Raw genomic sequence first — 22136 nt, forward strand, 5'->3', positions numbered from 1 at the left:
GCTGGTAGCATGTTATCAACCTGTATTATATCCCATTTGTTTATAAATTTATACATGTACTTCAGAATATGTAATAAATGCTTTATAAATATTTCAAATGCAAAACAATTTAAAAATATACGTGAAGAATAAATTTCAAGAAGACATTTCAGAACACACACACAAAAGGTAATAAAATAAAAATGAAATAGAAACAATCATAACCTGATTTTAAGGATGTTTCAATGAAGTGTCCTTGATAGCCCTGAATTGTAGAATAATTCTGAATTAAGGCCAAGCACGGTGGCTCACGCCTATAACCCCAGCACTTTGGGAGGCCAAGGTAGGCAGATCACTTGAGGTCGGGAGTTCAAGATCAACCTGGCCAATATGGTGAAACTCTGAATCTACTAAAAATACAAAAATTAGCCGGGTGTGGTGACATGTACCTGTAGTCCAGGCAGGAGAATTGCTTGAACCCAGGAGGCAGAGGTTGCAGTGAGCAGAGATTGTGCCACCGCACTCCAGTCTGAGCAACAGAGCATGATTCCGTCTCAATAAATAAATAAATAAATAAATAAATAAATATTCTGAATTAAACACAATTTTCCACCTGAAATAGAGAATTCAAAATCAGCCTATATCTGACAATTCTGCATTCATAGCAGGACATCCTTAGTCCTGCAGAATTAACCTGGACAAATCCTGGTGGACACCAAAAATGAAGCATAGACAGATGTAGTGCTCTAAACTTGAGGTTGTGATAGGAGGTACTATGTCTAGCAGGACTTATGTGAACCATGTGTGCAGCACAGGACACAGGCTAATGCCAATTCTGAGTAACTCACTCCTTTTCCAGGAATGAGTGCAGAGGAAAATAAACGGACTTGTCAGACTTTGCCATCTATTATGGAAAAACAAGAGTAGTATTGTTACCGAAACACGAGGGATTCAGTCTAGGGCCTGCTGCTTGCTTCACAGAAAGCCAGTGACTGAGGTAATGAGTACTGGCAAGGAAGAAGGCTTTAATCGGGCGCTGCAGCCGAGAAGGTGGGAGCTCAGCCTCAAATCCATCTCCAAGACCAAGTAAAACTGCAGGCTTATATAGCAGGGAAGATGTGTAAGAAATGTATAAGAAAACAGCAACTGGGGAGGGGCAAGGAAGCCATTATGAGGAATGAGAGGCCTGGCATCTCATCGTCTGGATGTAGTGATCTGGTGAGTTTCAGTTCTTTGATATTTTTTGAGAAGCCTGAAGCTGGTTGCCTGAGGAAGGAACTCAGATAAAACAAATATAAGTTTCGAGCTTTAAGACCAGAGGGTCAATTTCTATGTTTATCCAGAAGAACTTATCTATGGGACTACTGAGTTGGTTTCAGTATTATCTTTAAGATTTAGAAAAATGACTATATCTAGAATATATTTACTAGGAGAAGAAGTAAAAGAAGAAGAGGAAGTGGGGGTAAAGGAGGACAAGGAAAGAATGAGAAGGGGAGAACAGGAAGAGGGGGAAGGGAGAAGGGAGAAGGAGGGGGAGGGGAGGGGAAGGAAGAAGGAGAAAGGTTCAGAAATTACCTGCTGTGAATTCCACAAGCTATAAAAAGAAACATCAAGAGAAACATAAGAACATCTGAGATATAACAGTGATTGTTTGACTTGCCAGTTAAAAATAGAAGGCACCACAGGGGAGAAAAAAAAAGGAAAGTTAAAAATAATAAAAGAACTATTGCACATAGCGAAATAACAGAACTGATTATGAAAACATTTAGTGGCTTACCAATTCACTCAGGGTAAATGTCAAGATATGTGCTATGCCTTTTTTTTCAGAGTATTTGTACTATTTTATTTTATTTATTTTATTTTTTTATTATACTTAAGTTCTAGGGTACATGCGCACAACATGCAAGTTTGACACATAGGTATACATGTGCCATATTGGTTTGCTGTACCCATCAACTCATCATTTACATTAGTTATTTCTCCTAATGCTCTCCCTCCCCTAGCCCTCCACCCTCTAACAGGCCCCAGTGTGTGATGTTCCTCTCCCTGTGTCCATGTGTTTTCATTGTTCAGTTCCCACCTATGAGTGAGAACATGCAGTGTTTGGTTTTCTGTCTTTGTGATAGTTTGCTGAGAATGATGGTTTCCAGCTTCATCCATGTCCCTGCAAAGGACATGAGCTCATCCTTTTTTATGGCTGCATAGTATTCCATGCTGTATATGTGCCACATTTTCTTTATCCAGTCTATCATTGATGGACATTTGGGTTAGTTCCAAGTCTTTGCTATTGTGAATAGTGCTGCAATAAATATACGTGTATATGCACTATGTCTTTAATGAAGATTTTCTCCCTTATTACCTCTCTGATCTCATAATCTATTTTTTACAGTTTGCTAAGTAGCTCTTGCCTCAGGGCCTTTGCACATGCCCTTCACTCTGCCTCAACTGCTGTTTTTGCCAAAATATCTGGCTGCTGCTTTCCTTGCACTTTCCAATCTTTACTCAGAAGCTTTTCTTAATGAAGTGCTTCTTTGTCATCTTTTCTAAAAGTAACAGGCATCCTGTACTCACACCAGCACTTTAAATCCCCTTCTTATATTTTTCTTTCAGTGGTTGCTAATATACATTACCTTTTATATATATTTATATTTTTTATTGTCTGACTCACCTACTGGGCCACAATCTCGATGACAGTGATCTTTATCTTCAGTCTCTGGAGGAATACCTGGCACACATAGGTCCTCATTAAATAATTATTAATGAATAAGTCAATGATAATATAAGGTACCTCAACATAAATACCAAGAACTAGGGTCAATTAATTCACTCAGTGTAGGGTTTCTAAATTCAAATTTTCCCTTTAACCAACATTCCTTTTTGTTGAAACACATCTTATTTTTTAAAGGATTACTGAGCTATGTTTCTTATCCAAGATAGTGCCATCCAGCTGGCATCCAGCTGCTCTTGTTAGAAGTGGTTTGGTAGTAATTCTAAGCAACAAAATTCCTGGGCTCTGATTACCTTCCCCTCACTTTTAAAACAGTTCCAGAATCATTGAGAGATCTGTGCACACTCAAAAAGCTTTGAGGATCCAAATTCAAACCAGGTTCTATGTCTACCATTAAAAGCCCTAAGAATATGTCCTAATTTTCTAATGACATTTTATATTTTAAGACATCAAAAGCTTGGATTTATGGGCCGTATACTAACAATGTTTAGTAGCCAACTATAAAGCAGTTAACTACATTTGGAATGCATCTTTTCTTCTCTTTTTTATTTTCCTCCCTCAAAACAACTCTGTCAGCTTCCTTTATAAAACAGTGTCATAATGCATAAAAATCTAGTGTTTGGCCTAGAGTTGCATGTCCACATTCCAGGGGAAAGAAAGTCAAAGAAAAAGACTGCCTATCAGCCACGATTACTATTTATAAAAACCATTGTTCTCTTTCAGATAACAGAAATGTATAAGTAGGTAAAAAATTTCTTAAACCAAAGTGTTTACAAAATAATAAAAATAGGTATTATAGTTCAAAAATTTCATTTAAATATCCAGTTATCTAATTATATGAATTTTTCACAAGTCACTTTAAGAGCATCATTTGAGTAACTAGCCTCCACTGTTTTATTCCTTAGAATAAGGTTAATTGCTTCTCAGAGAACATAATCTTATAATAATAAATTGCAACTCACCATAGTGTTTCTTCTTTCTCGCTCACCCTCTCACACACACAGACTCACAAATGCAAGAATGAGACACTAGAATAAGTTCTATAGTGTTTTCTTAGTGTAAGCCTCAAAACTTACTGTTAAGCAAACATAAAACTATGGTATGTGTCCTTCTGTATTATATCTCCTAGGAATTATCTAGTGCAAAATTGTTGCTCCTGGTATCTAAGTATCAATTAGAACAGAATCATTTTCAAGTACCATAAAGACCTCACATAACATAGCTTAAACAATACAGAGAATGTGTTGCCTCAGGAAACAAGACAACACTAGAGGTAGCAGGCAGCTTTGTGTATGGATCAACTTGGTCTCCAGCAGCTGAGTTTCTCTGCTATTTTCTTGTCTGATGCACTTTGTTCCAACGGCGTCTTTTCAGGATGCTTTCCCTAGTGGTGATAAAAGGCTGCAGGGGTTTCAAGCCTTATCCCCTATATTAGTCCATTTTTACACTGCTATAAAAGTACTCCCTGAGGCTGAGTAATTTATAAACAAAAAGGTTTAATTAACTCACAGTTCTGCACGGCTGGGGAGGCCTCAGGGAAGTTACAGTCATCATGGAAGGTGAAGGCGAAGGGGAAGCAAGGCATGTCTTCACAAGGCAGCAGGGGAGAGAGAGAGAAAGACAGAGCGAGGGGGGAGCTGACAAACACTTTTAAACCATCAGATCTCATGACAACTCACTCACTATCATGAGAACAACATGGGGAAACTGCCCCCATGATCCAATCACCTCCCACCAGGTCTCTACCTCCACATGTGGGGATTTTAACTTGAGATGGGATTTGGTTGAGGACACAGAGCCAAACCATACCACCCTTGCACACCGCAGAGTTTAGAACAGAAAGTTTCCTTTCCCTTAACCATCAAAGAAAAATCCTCTGTCTTACTCTGATTGGACCATCTGGTTCACATGCCCATTCTGGAATCAGTTATTGATCAACAGATCAGGCTATTAGGGGCCCAAATGACTGTTACTAAAAGGGAAGGGGTGCAAGAAATGCGAGTTTCTTAATGACTGTCAGTCATAAATAAAGCAGATGGAGGGTAACTCAAAGAAATATAGCACAAGTCCCTATCTCCAAAAGACCTAAAATCTCGTGTGGTTTCAACTGCAAATGAAAATACAAAAATTAGAGCAGGTAAAATTGTAAACATTTGGGCATTGTCATAATGTAATGAGAGTTCAAAGGAGAGAGAGTTCAGGGTGGACTTAGGTCATAGTATGCTTTTCATTTATTTATTTGTTTGTTTTGAGACAGGGTCTCACTCACTTGCGCAGCCATGGAGTGCGGTGGCACAGCCATGGCTCACTGCAGCCTTGAACTCCTCACCTCAAGAGATCATCTTGCCTCAGCCTCCTGAGTAGCCAGGACCACGGGCACATCCCACCCCACCTGGTTAATTGTAAAATAAGTTTTTGTGGAGAAGGAATTGCCTATGTTGCCCAAGCAGGTCTCAAATTCCTGGCTTCAAGTGATTATCCTGCCTCTGCCTTCTAAAGCACTGGAATCACTGGCATGGTCACACTTTTTAAGAAATAAACATGATTCATATGAAAGTAGGGAGTTTTCAGCAGATGGAAGCACCATTCTTGACAACAACATAGAGATGGGAATTAGGAAAGGAATGGATGAGAAAAGGTGAAGGCGAGAACCACTAGGATAGCAGATCAAGGTGGATGAGCAACAGGGAGGAGCCTGGGCAGATTAAACAGGTCCAGATAATTGAGCATATTGAAAGACCCGCAAAGATGTATACTTGGTGTAAGAAATAGTATCATTGCCAAATTGTCAATCAAATAATGCTATCTCTGTTGCTCTTACTTTATGGAAGAATAATAATTTGGGAATATGCATATTTTGAACAATTGATTTTTTAAACAGTGTGTGTGTGAGTGTGTGTGTGTGTATATATATATGTATATACACACACTTGTATTCATTCCAAAACACTGAGAAAGCAGTATATTAAATTCATTTTACACAACTTAAGAGCGTTTATTGATCCAGATAGAAAATTTCTAAGCTACATGCTGAGCATGATGACTAAGTATCTAAGCCAAATTGTGAATTACTTTTTCCATGAAAATCAAATACATATATTTATATGCTGTGTTTTCTTCTAAAATGCTTATAAAACAGCTGCTATAATCATAGAACATAGAGTCTTTGCCACGACACATTATAATAAAAGAGTTGTATTTCAATTTAGCAAGCTACCTAAAAAACAGTATTTTCCAAGAGTGACCAAGGCCCATTCCAGACCCTCTATCATATATGCTGAAATTGGGTTATAAAAATGGCTTACACAGACTTCAAGAAAATGTTTGTTTTTTCAAAACAAAACCTGTCTAGAGTATTGGAGTTCATAGAATCAACAGTTTAAAACAGAACTTATAAAATATATAGTTCTACACCCTTATTAAGATTAAAAAATTGAGTTGCAGAACAGATGTGCTTGTTAAAAATAGATCAGTTAAATACTCAGAACTTATTCTCAAGTTTTAAACTCAGAAACTCTTTGCTGTTTCCATGCTACCATTCTGTGCATTGGATAACAAATGTTGATTTAAGTGAATTTCAGTGACATAATAATTCACACCATCTACTCCAACTTTTATTGACAAGAAAGTTGTTTTTGACTTAAACATTTTGTACATAATTCCATAAAGCTACAGAACATATGAATTGTGTCTAGAAGTTAAAACACTTAGCAAGAGGGCTGAAATTCAGCATCCAAGACTGGAATAGCTCATTAGGAGACCACACACCGTGAGGATCATTGATGTTTCTTCCTCAAACACCAGGACACAAGCCTGTGGTATTTCTAAAAGTTGCTAGGGAAAATACTACATCCAAATTCAGCTATCCTTGGCACAGGTAGTTCCACAAATAGTGACAGTCATTTATTAACAATAAACAAAGCAGTGAAAAGACAAAATGTCTTTCCACAAGCACCAGATTTTAATCTGAAAAAACACCCCAGAATCAATAGTTAAATTGCTATACAAGAGAAATGACCTATAAAGGCTTTAATTTCTTTTTATTTTTGTATTACTTTAGAAATATGCTATGCACATGGGATAAGAACTGCTTTTGACATAGACAGGGAATCAGACACAAAGTCTTTTCAGAAACACTCTCTACTAGAATACAGATTGGAGAAAAATACATATGCACCCATGCAGAGAGATGAATTTGAGCATAATATAATTCATTTTTATAATGGCTTATTTGTAATTAATTGGTTTATGTTCCAGTTTATTATAACAATCCTGAAAGATAAACTAAGAATATACAATTGTTCATTGCAGAGATGGAAGAATCTGAGTCTTAAAGTGACTAATTCATGACACTATTGCTAGAAAATAAAGAACACAGGAATAGAATACAACTCTTTTAGCTTAAGACTTATTTCCACAATAGTGCATTCCTTCTAACAACAGCCAGTGCTCACTTAGATAATTTTGAAGCTACAGTTAGAGAAAAATATTGGAGTTCTCTGTATGATGTTTTAATTTCACTGGCTACTGCATTTGTGTAATTATACATTTAAGAGAAATTAAAAATTGAAAAACAAATGTAAAAGTAAGAAACAAATTGAATGATATGAGTTAACAAATAATATGTGTAAAATTAATGCTTAAGAACCATTTTCCAAGTGATGGTTTATGTTTTGCCTTCTAAAATCTGTTCTAAGTTCATTCCAACTTATTTTCCATTTTGGTTCACAATTTTTCAGAGAGAACTATTAAAAGAAAACGCTACTATAAAAGACAAGGCCATTTTTTCCTCTCATTAATAATTTCAAATGTTCCTCATGTGAAATTTTTTGTCTGGTCTAAAAAAGAAAAGATAAAAAAATCTTGCCTAGTCAAGAACAGAAAGTGTAAAAAAAACTCTAAATATATTGTACTTCTGTATATATAACCAATTTAACTTGAGGTATTTTAAAATAGGAATTTATTTAATTTTAGTGACCTAAACCACATTATTTAGAGTGTTGTGTAAATATTAAGGCATTTCTGAAATGAGTACATTTAAGTCTGGATTTTTGCTTTATATTGTTTCTAAGACATCAAAGTTTAGGTATGTGGATAGTGGTGGTTAGACATACTTTGTATTTACAGCTAGTCTTAACAGAGTACAAATAGATTAAATAGTTTAAGATACAAAAACATGTCTAGAATCAGTTCAACAGAATCTCCCTATAAACCTATAAATCATAAAAAGTTCTAAATGTTATTACGTATGTGTAAATGTATATAGAATTCTTCCCTAATATTGATTCTAGTTAACTGAATCTTCTTTTTAAAGGTATAAACTATATAACTAGCTTGGAAAGCCATTAAAAACAAAGTATTTAATAGAGATTTTACTTAATATAAATATTAGTGAAATTTTATGTATCAAAAAGAAATATTGGCCAGAACTCTGGCTTAATTCCATTTTCACGTTATATACTTAAATAAAAGAATATCGGCAAAAAGTAATTAGAAGAAACACAATAGTTGTGTTTTAAAATTTTAACACTATTTATTTTCACCTAAATATATGAAGTGCTTTTGTAAGTTGAACTGCTATAGATAACTCATTAACTAGTGACCATTTAAAATTAACTCAGATAAAAATAAAACTCACATTTTCATTTAGAAGGTCTGAAAATCAAATCTGAAAAATCTGGAGTCCAGTGACTCAGCAAATATTTTGGTTGAAAGCACATTTATCTTCAAGACAAAATTACACATAGTAAATTTGGATCTGTTAAAGTAATTCCCCTTTACTTGCAAGTAAGACAAACATTTGTAAGTAAAAAATACGTCTGGCTTAACAAGGTTAAGAAATTAAAATGTCTTATTGCAAAGATTCCATTGAAGGGGAACTGATTGGTTTCCTGATACTACTATTGGTGAGCAAGAATTAAAATGTTTAAGTGGCTTTTCTGTTCTTTAAAACCCTCTAGGTTTCCTTTAGAACAGGAAACATAGGGAATCTGAGAGTATGACAGTATCTTGAAGGTCAATGAGTATAACTTCCTCCATAAAATGGGAAGTCCTACAGTCTACTAGACAATGATCAGTTTTCTTTTGTTATATTTGACAATGGTATAATTTTCTCCCTGAGCTGCTCATTCTGCATATCCCTGTCCTCATTTTTTTCAGAGGTTTGGAGATCTTAGTTACCATTTGTCCAGGTAATCTCTACCTAATTACCCATAATGTTTCCAAAACACAAGGAGCTCAATCTAGGTCCTGTTGCTCGCCGCACAGAAAGACAATGACTGAGATGATGAGCATTGCCAAGGAAGAAGCTTTAATCCTGTGCTGCAGCCGAGAAGATGGGAGCTCAGGTCTCAAATCCATCTCCCTGATTCACTAAAACTAGGAGTTTACATAGCAGGGAAGAAATGTAACAATGTATAAGGAAACAGGAAATAGGAAGGGGCAAGGAAGCCATCATGATGAAAGAGGGGTCCAGCATCTCATTGTCTGGATGTGGTGATCTGTTGAGTTTCAGTTCTTTGAAACCTTTTTGAGGGGACTGAAAGCCATTTCCTGAGGAAGGAACTCAGATAAAAGAAGTATAAGGTTCAAGCTTTGAGATAAGGAGGGTCAATTTCTATGTTTATCTAAAAAACTGTCCATGAGACTATGAGTTGGATTTAATAACAGCACAGAAAACTGAATTCAGTATTTCCAATGTGTTCGCATTGTGTGCAGGACAGTATTACCACCCTAAATATAATTTCGTTTTTTTGTGGCATAGAATCATAATTGTGTTTTTAAAATAGATATGCTTTTGGCATCACAATGAGCTTATCTTTTATTAACCTCCCCCATCCTATACCTGCCTAGTTAAATTTAAATAAAAATACAGGGTTATCAACTTATTCTAATTAAAGTTCTTCTTGTTTGTATATCAAATACAAATTTTATAACTATGCTGTCTTTTTCTCATCCAAGTTATAACAGTCAAGACCGAAAAGGGTACAAACCTGAAGGTTCTGCTCCAGATTGACATTTATCCCACATTCAGTGTGTATCTTTGATCATTCTTTAATTCATTCCATAAATATTTATTTTGGATGTACTCTCTGTGAAAAACTTTCATAGTTGTTTTTTGCATCAATGTGAAAAACAGACTAATAACTTGAGAAGTTTATGGTCTAGCAACGTTAGCACATAAATGCCTCCTCAACTTCAACGTACATTATTTCTAGAGAATGCACTGTATTTGTCAATACAATAGATACAATCTCTTGTATTCCAGATTGCTAATGCCGCTAAAGGAGGAGGAGGCTGGTTCAATACGATACATTCCCACTCATGGTCAGGTCATGCTCATTTCCGTCTTCACTTTCTCAAGTTCTCCGCTTGATAACATTTTCTAATATTTTTAAATAAAAAGCAATATAAATGTTATGTTGACATGTTCTTGGTTTGAGTATTGGGGCATGTCTTGTAACCTCCCACATATATCGACCACCATCATTCTTTCTTTGTGAGACTGCTAACTGAAAGTTACTAATTGTGCAGCTGGATGCTGCCGTATCAGCGTAACTCAGCCTGCGACTTCCGTTGAGAACTCCAATGCGTGCTAGTTGGTTCATGCATTCTCTACAGTTGTGGTTTCAGAAGTTCTCTTTTCACTTTTAACCTCACATACCCAACACCTTTGTCTCTCCCAGCTCTTTCATGGGGATAGTGGAAGCCATAAACTATTAAGTTTTTTTTATTTATTTTATTTTATTATTATTATTTTTTTTTTGAGATGGAGTTTTGCTCTTGTTGTCTAGATTGGAGTGCAATGGTGCGATCTTGGCTCACTGTAACCTCCACCTCCCGGGTTCAAGCTATTCTTCTGCCTCAGCCTCCCAAGTAGCTGGGATTACAGGCAGCCGCCACCACACCTGGCTAATTTTGTATTTTTAGTAGAGACAGAGTTTCTCCATGTTGGTCAGGCTCATCTCGAACTGCCGACCTCAGGTGATCCACCTGCCTCAGCCTCCCAAAGTGCTGGGATTACAGGCATGAGCCACGGGGCCTGGCCAAACTAAGAAATATTTATAACCAACTCTATAAACCTTCTTAAATCCACGCTCATTGCATCTTCCGTTCTCTCCTGTTACAATGGAAGAGGGGTGCTCTCCTCTATTTTAGGCCCATTTCCTAAACCAGTTCCTGATTCTTTCTTTCCTCCCTGGTGACATTGTACTGCTGTACTCTCTTGTCAGTCCTATATTTTCCATCTTTCTCTGCACATGAATTCTTTTCTTAAACAAGCTCGAGTTGCTCTGTGTAAATTTTTCTTTTGTGAAATAGCTTCTATCCTACCTGTCCCCTCATTCTCACACCGAACTGTCTTTTACTCTCTCTTCTGCAATCCTAGGCAGTCTGACTTCCGTCCACGACTTCACAAAGCTGCTGTACTATGGCCCTTAGTGCCCTCCTTGACATTAAAAACAGTAAACAAGTCCCATTTTCTTTTTTACTAATAACTCTAATTTCTTCATCTAACAATCTCACCTTTCTTAAACATACTTTACTTTGTCATCCAAGCCACAGTGCAGTTTTGGTTTTTCTCCTAATAATGTGTCCCCTTTTCCCAGCCTGCTTGGTGGGGGCCCCTTCCTGAACCAAACTGTCGTTAATGGTGCCCTTAAGCTTCACTTCCCACTCTGCGTTCTCTGTGCACCATCTTTAAGATCTATATTTCTTGACAGAACATTTACGTCATGAGTTCATCTGTCTCCCCAACACCTTTAGGTGTCATAGCTGACTGCTGGTGGATATCTCCATCTGGACGTCACATGGGAACTTCAAACTCAATATATTCAACACTGAACTCATTAGCTCAACTCTGCTGCTGCCTCTGTCTGTCACATGCCCCACACAATTGCTCTCCCTCTTGTATTCTATTTCAGTGAAAATAGAGTCCATTTGAAAAATTGGAACATTGGTGACTCCTGTGCGATTCCCCAAACAAGCATTACGTTGTCAGTTTTACCTTATAAATACTTTTTGAATTATATTTATCAATTCCAGATCATCAAATCTTACCTATATTTTGCAACAATCTTTTAATTAGCCCTTGTGCTTCCAATCTTTGTCTTTTTTCTTTCTCTACAATGACGCCAAGGGTTTCATAAAATGTGAACCGGATTTTACCAATTTTCTGCCTAAGTTTTCCATGAGTTTCCATTATGAGTGGGATAACATTCAAATTTCTTGATGTGACTTTATAAAGCCAAAAATGAAATAAGAAATATTAGAATTAGTTTTGACAAGGAGTTAATGAACTTAGGGGATTCCAAACTTTAAAGAACATTTACCTTTACTTGTCCTCTGACCCCATTATCAAAACATTCCCACAAAATAATCTTGTATTAGTTAATTATACTCTGGAAGGAATTTACAGCTTCTCAAAGATGATTGCTTTTTACGCCATCTCTACTCTCACTGGCACGAGGCTGTTTTCTTTTACATGAAGTCTCCCATTGTTCACATAATCATATTACTTTCTCGCAGCTTGGCTTTAGAAATAGAACATAGCTAAACTTTGGACCCTTAAGTGATTGCCTGGAGGCATTAGGTCTATAATTTCAATACTAAAAAGCTCTTCAAATCATAAATATCCTAATAGATTTGTGACAAATTATGGCAGCAAAACCTATTCTGATCTGACGTTAAGTTACACCTGCTTTTTATTTATCACACCTAGTTTGAATATTCATACATTTCACTGTATCAATATTAATGTATTTGAATGTGGGGTGCTGATCCAGACATAATACATGATATATGCACACCATTACCTTCCTAAAATATGAAAACCTCCAAAATCTAAAAGGTTTTGGCCTCAAGGCCCTTGGATTAGGAATTCTGAGTTTATACTAAATTTAGTATGGCAAATCAAAGCCTATCAAACTTCAGATTTGTGGGATTTATTTATCCAAGAAGAAAATAGGTCTCTCTCTTTTTTTAATTAGACAGAGTCTTGCTCTGTCACCCAGGGTGGAGCGCAGTGGTGTGATCTAAGCTCACTGCAACTTCCACCTCGCGGGTTCAAGTGATTCTCCTGCCTCTGCTTCCCCAGTAGCGCCTCCATGCCCAGCTAATTTTTGTATTTTTAGTTGAGACAGGGTTTCACCATGTTGGCCAGGATGGTCTTGAACTCCTGACCTCAGGTGATCTGCCCACCTTAGCCTCCCAAAGTTCAGGGATTACAGGCGTGAGTCAGCGTGTCTGGACAGAAAGTAGATCTCTTGATTTCCTATGAGATTCACTGAAAGAATGTGTTTAAAAGGGATCTTACATTTAGAGAATAAGTTGATGCACACATTTTCAGAATTTCTATTTTATCCATTTGGGCTGAGTTTGGTGCCTTACAGGATCTAACTCTCTCCCACTTCGTCTTAGCTTGGCAATGGTGACTCAGACAACTTCATGCCATGTTCACTGGCTTAGTCAACAAAAACCTTAGAAATCCTAATACAGTTTAAGACTGGCACTGGATTATCCAGGTGATTCTGAACATTGATCTCTCCAAGTTTCTGAATTACCAAAGAGCATTTATTTGCAGCCTGGAAATCTCAGGCTCGGCGGGGGAAATGGATACAGGTAGGGCAGACGCCGTGTTCTTGCCGTGCAGCTGGAATAACAAAGCCTCTGAAAAGTTCACCACCTCTCCACGTGTGTGGTATTTTATGCATCAACACAGTCGCCTTCACCTGTGCTGCATTTCACTCATTACAGATAAAGTTGTATATTGGCCCAACTTTACCCAGCACACACTTATTCTGCGCTGATGTTTACACAGCAGTTAGAAATTCCTGGGATAATACCTTCTATCTCACGCTGCCATATTACCACCTTCAACCCCATTTTACATTGGCTCTCATTCAGGGGCCTTTGAAACACAGTCATCAGGATGCTCAGGGAGATTAACGGTGTGGTCTGGTTTAGATAAAATAATCCTTAGGAACCTATGACCATCAAGTGAATCACGAATATTGATAAAAACCCACGTACACGTTCCTCACAAAATGTTGTTTCAGTTAAGTTTTCTTCCTTCCGTGTCCGGAATTGGTGGGTTCTTGGTCTCGCTGACTTCAAGAATGAAGCCTCGGACCCTTGCAGTGAGTGTTACAGTTCCTAAAGACGGTGTGTCCAGAGTTTTTTCCTCCAGATGTTCAAATGTGCCTGGAGTTTCTTCCTTCTGGTGGGTTCGTGGTCTCGCTGACTTCAGGAGTAAAGCTGCAGACCTTCGCCGTGAGTGTTACAGCTCATAAAGGCCGTGTGTCTGGAATTGTTCATTCCTTCTGGTGGGTTCATGGTCTTGCTGGCTTCAGGAGTGTAGAGGCAGACCTTCTCAATGAGCGTTACAGGTCTTAAAGGTGGCGCGTCTGGAGTTGTCCATCCCTCCCGGTGGGTTCACGGTCTCGCTGGCCTCAGGAATGAAGCTGCAGACCTTCATGGTGAGCGTTATAGCTGCGCAGACCCAAACAATAAGCACCAACAACATTTAGTGCCAAGAGCAAAAGAACAAAGCTTCCACACCATGGAAGGGAACCAGGGAGGGCTACTGCTGCTGCTGCTGGCTCGGGTGGCCTGCTTTTATTCCCTTATCTGACCCCACTCACATCCTGCTGATTGGTCCATTTTAGAGAGAGCTGATTGGCCCATTTTACAGAGAGCTGATTGGCCCATTTTACAGAGACCTGATTGGTCCGTTTTGACAGGGTGCTAATTGGTGCGTTTATAAACCTTGAGCTAGACACAAGAGTACTGATTGGTGCATTTACAATCCTTTAGCTAGACACAAAAGTTCAAGTCCCCACTAGATTAGCTAGACACAGAGCACTGATTGGTGCTTTCACAAACCTGGAGCTAGACACAGAGTGCTCATTGGTGCATTTACAAACCTCTAGCTAGACACAGAGTACTGATTGGTGCATTTACAATCCTTTAGCTAGACACAAAAGTTCTCCAAGTCCCCACTAGATTAGCTAGACACAGAGCACTGATTGGTGCTCTTACAAACCTGGAGTTAGACACAGAGTGCCTATTGGTGCACTTACAAACCTTGAGCTAGACACAAAGTGCAGATTGGTGCATTTACAAACCTCTAGCTAGACACAGAGTGCTGATTGTTTCTTTTTCAATCCTTTACCTAGACAGAAAAGTTCTCCAAGTCCCCACCCAACCCAGAAGCCCAGCTGGCTTCACCTCTCAATGGCACTTGCTGTGGGACTTTGTGGTATCTAGCCTGGGCACTCTGGCAGCCCAGAGGGAGCTCGCCCCCTGATCAAGCCCAGCAGGCAATGGCTGGCCACGACGAGCGTGGGGCCTGCTGAGCCCTTGCCCACCCGCAACCTGCACAGGCCCGGGAGCGCCTCCCACCCACGCCTCTCCCTCCACACCTCCCTGTGAGCAGAGGGAGCTGGCTTGGCTCCAGCCTCGGCCAGCCCCAGAGAGGGGCCCCCACAGTGCAGTGGCAGGCTGAAGGGCTCCTCAAGCATGGCCGGAGTGGACACCGAGGCCGAGGAGGTGCGGAGAGTAAGCGAGGGCTGCTAGCACGTTGTCACCTCCCTCTCTCTCTCTCTTCCCCTCCCTCCCTCTCCCTCCCTCCCTCCCTCCCTCCCTTCCTTCCTTCCTTCTTTCCTTCCTTCCTTCCTTTTCTTTCTTCTTCAGGTGGAACTCGAACTCCAGGGCTCAAGAGAGCCTCCTACCTCAGCCTCCCAAATAGCCAGAGGCTACAGGATTGCACCACCACAACGGTATTCCTGAAAAGCTTCTAAAATCTTCCAATAAAAGTGGTTTTAGGCTTTCATGTCTTAGGAGGTCTTCTTTAAATATGAAAAAAAAGATAAAAATTAGAAGTTAAAACATGCATAGTTATGTTTAATGTTTATGCTATAAAAGAGAAATTCTTATACTACATATATTCAGTGAATTTCCTCTAAACATAAACTAATATTCCCCTGAAAACAAATAAAGAAATTGAATGATACAACTGTCTTATTCCTTAAACTACAAAAATAAAATGCAAAGCCTTGGTAAAAAACCAACCAAACAAACAAAAACAATCACACACCAAAAAGTTGGACTTTCACATATGGAGTCTGAAGTTGGCTTTTATGACACCCAAGGGCTTATTCATTGTAATTATTTGTAATATTTGTGATATATATTATATATATAATTATTTGTGAAACATAGCAATGAATGTTGTCATTATTGAAGTAATATTAATTGCTGTTTTAGGTTTTATTTTGCATTTGTTTGGTTTATAAAAGCATTCAAATCCTAAAGAAAACTATACTGCTTAAGTAATTGCCAGCTTTATGCTTCATGAAATCGTTTTTATGGCATTAATAAATATGAAATAAATATCTAAAACTTAAAATCTTCAAATGGCATAGAATTTCTAATTAGTGAAATGATTTCTGTTGTTACTGAATGTCTTCGTTGGAACTATTCTTTTTCTGTTACCCAAAATTTTTCCCTTAAAAGTTTTAAGAGACCTAAACTTAAATAAACTTTAAAATAAAACCTAGATAGTTTTGCCTTTAAGCCGGGCATGGTGGTGCACTCCTGTAGTCTCAGCTACTTGAGAAGCCGAGGTCAGAGGATCACTTGAGCCCAAGAGTTTGAGACCAGTCTTGTTGATACAGAAAGATCTTCCTTGCCTCTTACAAAAAAAAAAATCCAAATTAGAAGGACTTATACAACTTTCTTGTAGAATTCACTTTACGTGAACATGCAGTAGACATTCAGTACACTTGTGGACTACTCAGAGACAATGTTGAATCAGTTGTGTTGAGATTCATTTATTTTCAGATTTGGAACCAGTCCTTAGCCCACACTAGAATATTTAAAATAATTTAAAAATAAATAAGTAATTGTGAAAATAAATATTAAACTGTCTTCTCAGCTTGAAACAGATATAAAATGCAAAATTAATCATATAAAGCAATCCTATAAATATTGCTAGCTTGGGCAATCATACAAATTAAGATCAGTTATGCATTCATGATAGCTCACTGATATAATAAAAATGATGTAGGGCATGTGGTTGGGTGTCGTTGAAATCAGATTTCACTTGTCAGTGATACTGATTTGAAAAAAACATAAATTGAAGAAACCCTAATCAATGGGACTAAATAATACAATCAAATTAACATAAAATCTTCATAGAATGTTTTCATTATCAGTGAACATAGTACTCCAGGCTTTCAGGAGCCATATTATAGAGATGGTAGAATGTTTGGAAAAATATTTTAAAGATATTCAAATCACTTAATTATAATTTAAGTAAATTTTGGTTCACCAAGTAAGAAAAACTCACATTTGTATTTCTTCCCCTTAGCCACACAGAGCTGGGTAGAAGACGGCTTCTCTTCAAAGTATCGTTCCTTCATCTAGCATAGTTGCTATGGCCATAATAAGTCAAAGACATAGGTTGTGGTCATCCTAAAAAATGAAGCCTATATTTTGATTACTGTAAACAGCATTGGAAAAAAAAGTCTGTGTAAGGCTTGAAAGAATATACTCTTTATTGTTTATGCATGAGGCGTCCTAGGAGAAGCTACATATGTAGCTGCTTACATATGTATACTTTATTACAAATGAAGTGGAGTGGAAAAAAACAATAACAGAGAAGACTGTTGTAGAAAAATCCTCAGTTATGAGGCTCAGATGTAAATGTAAAACCTAGGGGCTTAGATCTTTAAAGCTTCTGGCTTTAAGAATGCTAGTTTATGATATGTAGTTTTAGGAGGAGCCCTTGAGAGAAACTATATTTACTGCAAAGATTTGCAAAGAAAAAAAAAAAATACATGTGAAGTAAAAGTACTATCCATTAAACACTGAAAGCCAATTTCAATGAGAAATAATTTTTAAAGTTAAGTTATGGGGCCTCCACAGAGAAATAAAGCATAAGAAGGAAGTGTTCTTGTTAGATTTCCCAGGGTTGCTTTTCTGGGTGACAATGGCCTCATCTGTAAAATGTAAATAGCCGTGAAGATATTTAACTGAATAGAGATTTTCCAAGCAGATATCTTGAGGTCCCTTTCAATGGGAAAGTATGTAAAATAACAGGGTTGCAGAAGCTAGAGTGAAAGGAGAGTTTGGTAAGAAGCGGATGACTGAGTGTTATTTCTGATTAAAAAAGAAAAAGGCAATTAAGATTAGAAAGAAATTAAGAAGGGAGCATCTTCAATTAGCTACATGAAAGGAGAGTTTATGTCTATCAGCCTATCAGAAGGGCTTGCATCCGAGATACAAATGAGGTTTATCAAAATCAATGCTACTGAGGACCCCATCATGGGTGACTATTAAAGTGAATCACAAACTCAGAATGGAACCCAAAAAAATTTCAATAATGTACTTCTGACCCATTAAAGTAAATTCAATTACAGTTTTTAATGTTGTTATTACTGAAAAGAGTTAAGTGCACACGTATGTCAGTTCATATGATACAAAATAGCAATAATCCAAGTGCTCAGCGGGGGCGCTGCCCGGTGGCTCTGGCCCCGCCGGGCCGTTGGCCCAGCCCGCCGGCCCCTGAGCTCCGGTAGCCCGCCGCTGGAGAAGCTGTTCGCCCGGGGCGGGCCCTTGCGGACCTTCCTCGAGCGCCAGGCGGGGTCTGAAGCCCATTTGAAGGTCAGGAGGCCCGAGTTGCTGGCGGTGATCAAACTGCTGAACGAGAAGGAGCAGGAGCTGCGGGAGACTGAGCACTTGCTGCACGATGAGAATGAAGGTTTAAGGAAACTTGCAGAGAATGAAATCACTTTGTGTCAAAAAGAAATAACTCAGCTGAAGCATCAGATTATCTTACTTTTGGTTCCCTCAGAAGAAACAGATGAAAATGATTTGATCCTGGAAGTAACTGCAGGAGTTGGAGGTCAGGAGGCAATGTTGTTTACATCAGAGATATTTGATATGTATCAGCAATATGCTGCATTTAAAAGATGGCATTTTGAAACCCTGGAATATTTTCCAAGTGAAGTAGGTGGCCTTAGACATGCATCTGCCAGCATTGGGGGTTCAGAAGCCTATAGGCACATGAAATTTGAAGGAGGTGTTCACAGAGTACAAAGAGTGCCAAAGACAGAAAAGCAAGGCTGCGTCCATACTAGCACCATGACTGTAGCAATATTACCCCAGCCTACTGAGATTAATCTGGTGATTAATCCGAAAGATTTGAGAATTGACACTAAGCGAGCCAGTGGAGCTGGGGAGCAGCATGTAAATACCACGGACAGTGCTGTCCGGATAGTTCATCTTCCAACAGGTGTTGTTTCTGAATGTCAACAAGAGAGATCTCAGCTGAAAAATAAAGAGCTGGCTATGACAAAGTTACGTGCAAAACTGTACAGCATGCATGTAGAAGAAGAAATAAATAAAAGACAGAATGCTAGAAAAATTCAGATTGGAAGTAAAGGAAGATCAGAGAAAATAAGAACATATAATTTTCCACAGAACCGGGTCACAGATCACAGAATAAACAAGACGCTGCATGATCTTGAAACTTTTATGCAAGGAGATTATCTACTGGATGAACTTGTACAGTCATTGAAGGAATACGCCAATTATGAATCTTTAGTAGAAATTATTTCCCAAAAAGTTTAAGTTGATTTGTTATTTATAGACTTTCGTAGCTTAGAAAAATTCTACAGTACATCCACATAGGGTGAAAGTACCCTTACTCTCTTGAAAAACGTGAGTTAACACAGTTGGAGGTAATATGCATATTCTGAAGTCATAGATAATTTACACAGATCTCTCTCAATGCATTAGCAAAAATCATACAATATACAGATGGTCCTCGATTTACATTGTGGTTAATTCCCAATAAACCCGTCATAAGTTAAAAATGCATATAACGTTAGCAACACAGCAGTCTCCTAATTAATGACAGCTTGACTTAACAATTTTCCAACTTTACCATGGTGTGAAAGAGGTATGATTCCTAAGCCCTAAGGAGCTCCTCAGCTTGAAATGGGGCTGCATCCCTATAAACCCATCATAAAGTCAAAAAATCCTAAAACATAAGTTGGTGACCATCTGTAATCATGATGTGGTGGTAAATCTTGGACGCTACCTTACAATAACTAGACAAAGGAAAATCATCCTTTGTCCTGTTCTGTGTAAATATTTAATGAATGATCAAAACTTCAGTTTAAATATTATGAAAAACTTTAAACATAAAGTAGTAGAAATAAGACAGTAAATACTGTATCCTAATATCCAGTCAGGATACAGAAACCATACCATTAACTTGAACAGGGATAATTTTAATATAAAAAACTGTTAACTGATAATGGTATTAACTTTTAAGAGGGATGAAAGAGAGCTATGATGTCCTAGGACTGAGAGTACCCCAGGAAAGAATACCCTTGAAAGGGTCTCCCCTTCCCCATGGTGAAGTCAGGCCTAATGGAGAGAGTGGCTACAGCCTACTCAGTGATTGGGAAATTCCCTGTCTTGCCCTGGGCCAGAGCTGGTGTACCGCTGGTGGATCAGGTCTTACAAGCAAAGAACCTCACACTCTCAACTGGTAAGCCAGAAGCCTCTTGCTAGGGTGTGAGCAAAACTTGGACAGGAACTCTCAGTAGATGTTTGTGTTTGTCAAGATTCTCCAGACAAACTTCCTTAAAAGGATTGGCTTGTGTTGTTATTATTAAGTCTAACAAGTCCAAAAGCTGGAGTGTGAGGCAGGAGGCTGGAAACCCAGGAAAGCTGATGGTGCAAGGTCCAGTCCAAAGGTATCTGTTGGAGGATTCTCTTGTTCTGGGAAGAGGACGGTCTTTTTTTCTCTTCAGACCTTCACCTGACTGGATCAAGCCCACTAACATCGAGGAGGACAGTCTGCATTACTCAGAGTTCACTGATTGATTTAAATGTCAATCTCATATAAAACACCCTCACAGAAACACCTAGAATAATGTTTGACCTTATAATTGGAAAATCAGAGCAAAAGTTAAATCTCTAAAAAAAAAAAAAAAAAAAGTATGACCCAGTAGCTAGGCACCTGTGGCCCCGCCAAGTTGACACATAAAATTAACTGTCACAGTATCATCTTAGAAGTGAAAGAAGCCCCTTTATCCTGCAGTGCCCCTCTACCACCACCTACTGACAAAGAACATGGTGCTATCTGGCATGGGAGAAATGTTCAGTTTGCTATGGCTTGTATGTGTCCCCTCAAATTCAAGTGTTGCCAATGTGACAGCATCAAGAGGTGGGGTCTTTAAGAGATCACTAGGCCATGAAGGATTCTCTTAGGACTGGGATGAAGGCCCATAATAAAAGAGGTTTCAGGGAGCATCCTGCTAGCTTGCCTTCTGTATGTGAGAACACAGCAAGAAAGCCCTAGTCAACAAGTGCCAGCTCCTTGATCTTAGACTTCCCATCCTCCAGAACTGTGAGAAATACATTTCTGTTCCTTACAAATTACCCAGTCTCCTGTATTCTGTTATAGCAGCACAAAATGAAGATACCATACCTGAACACCTGAACATTCTTCACAAGGTAGTAAATGCACTGCTTTATTCTGGTCTCAGTATTGTGTGCTTAATAAGGAAATGAGAAAGGGTGGATCAGGGCATAGGATGAACAAGTTACTGCTAGACCTCTCACAATGCCACTAATGGATAAGATTGTATTTTCATCATTCTTGTCTCTTCGGAAGCTAACACCATGCTATAATAGGCACTAAATAGATGTCTAAAAACACCTTAAGTATTTGTCTAGAAATCTGGTGCATTGTTCAGAAAGAACCAAAATTCAAAATAATTTCAAAGGGCCTAAAGCACTAGTTAATCAAAATTCATTAGTTTTTAATGGTACTACCACTCTCAAATTTAAAATGTCATCTTACGTTCCTCTTCCTCGCATTGGATTTATTGCTAAAACCTGGTAAACACTTTTAATCCTTTTCAATTCCATTACCACTGCTCTTGTCCAGAATTACTTCGCAGACTAATAGTCACCTGACTTCTCCCCTGCATCAGATTTGCTGTCTAATTCTGGTTACAAATAAGTAACTGCCAAACTAATCTTTCTAAAAAGCAAGACTGATCTCGTCACTCCTTTGCTCAACAATGTAAAAGCTCCCATTGTCTCCCAAATAAAACCAGCTTTCCACTGTGTATACAATACAAAAAAAAAAAAAAAAAAAGTGCTCAGCAACAAGGCACCCAGTCATCCCATATGTATTCACCGGGATCTAGGTGGGTGCTGGTCAGTCATTGACCTGGGTACCAGGGTTCTTGGCCTCAGGGAACCTACAGGCTAGTCAGAGAGACAGATACCTTCTTTGATCAGTCAAGGAAATATATACTTACAAACTCTGATAATTACCTGATGTTCAGAAAGACAACAAAAGAATATCACTTAGCCTAAGCTTCATTAAAGAAGTACCACTTGC

The 22136-nt window shown here is 38.3% G+C and overlaps 1 pseudogene, besides 1 other annotated feature; it reads left to right on the forward strand.

Moving 5' to 3' along the window:
* Positions 13864–15063: an enhancer, noted in NCBI's record as "BRD4-independent group 4 enhancer chr4:189655173-189656372 (GRCh37/hg19 assembly coordinates)". NCBI's record gives its function as "activates an origin of replication core promoter dependent on BRD2, P300/CBP, MED14 and CDK7 cofactors, and independent of BRD4, by STARR-seq in HCT116 cells {active_cell/tissue: HCT116}" and the evidence as "EXISTENCE:reporter gene assay evidence [ECO:0000049][PMID:35650434]".
* Positions 18216–20918, forward strand: LOC285442 (mitochondrial translation release factor 1 like pseudogene; annotated as a pseudogene).
* Positions 20919–22136: the final 1218 nt, after the last annotated feature.

Source organism: Homo sapiens, chromosome 4 (genome assembly GCF_000001405.40).
Source record: "Homo sapiens chromosome 4, GRCh38.p14 Primary Assembly".
Taxonomy (NCBI): Eukaryota; Metazoa; Chordata; class Mammalia; order Primates; family Hominidae; genus Homo; species Homo sapiens.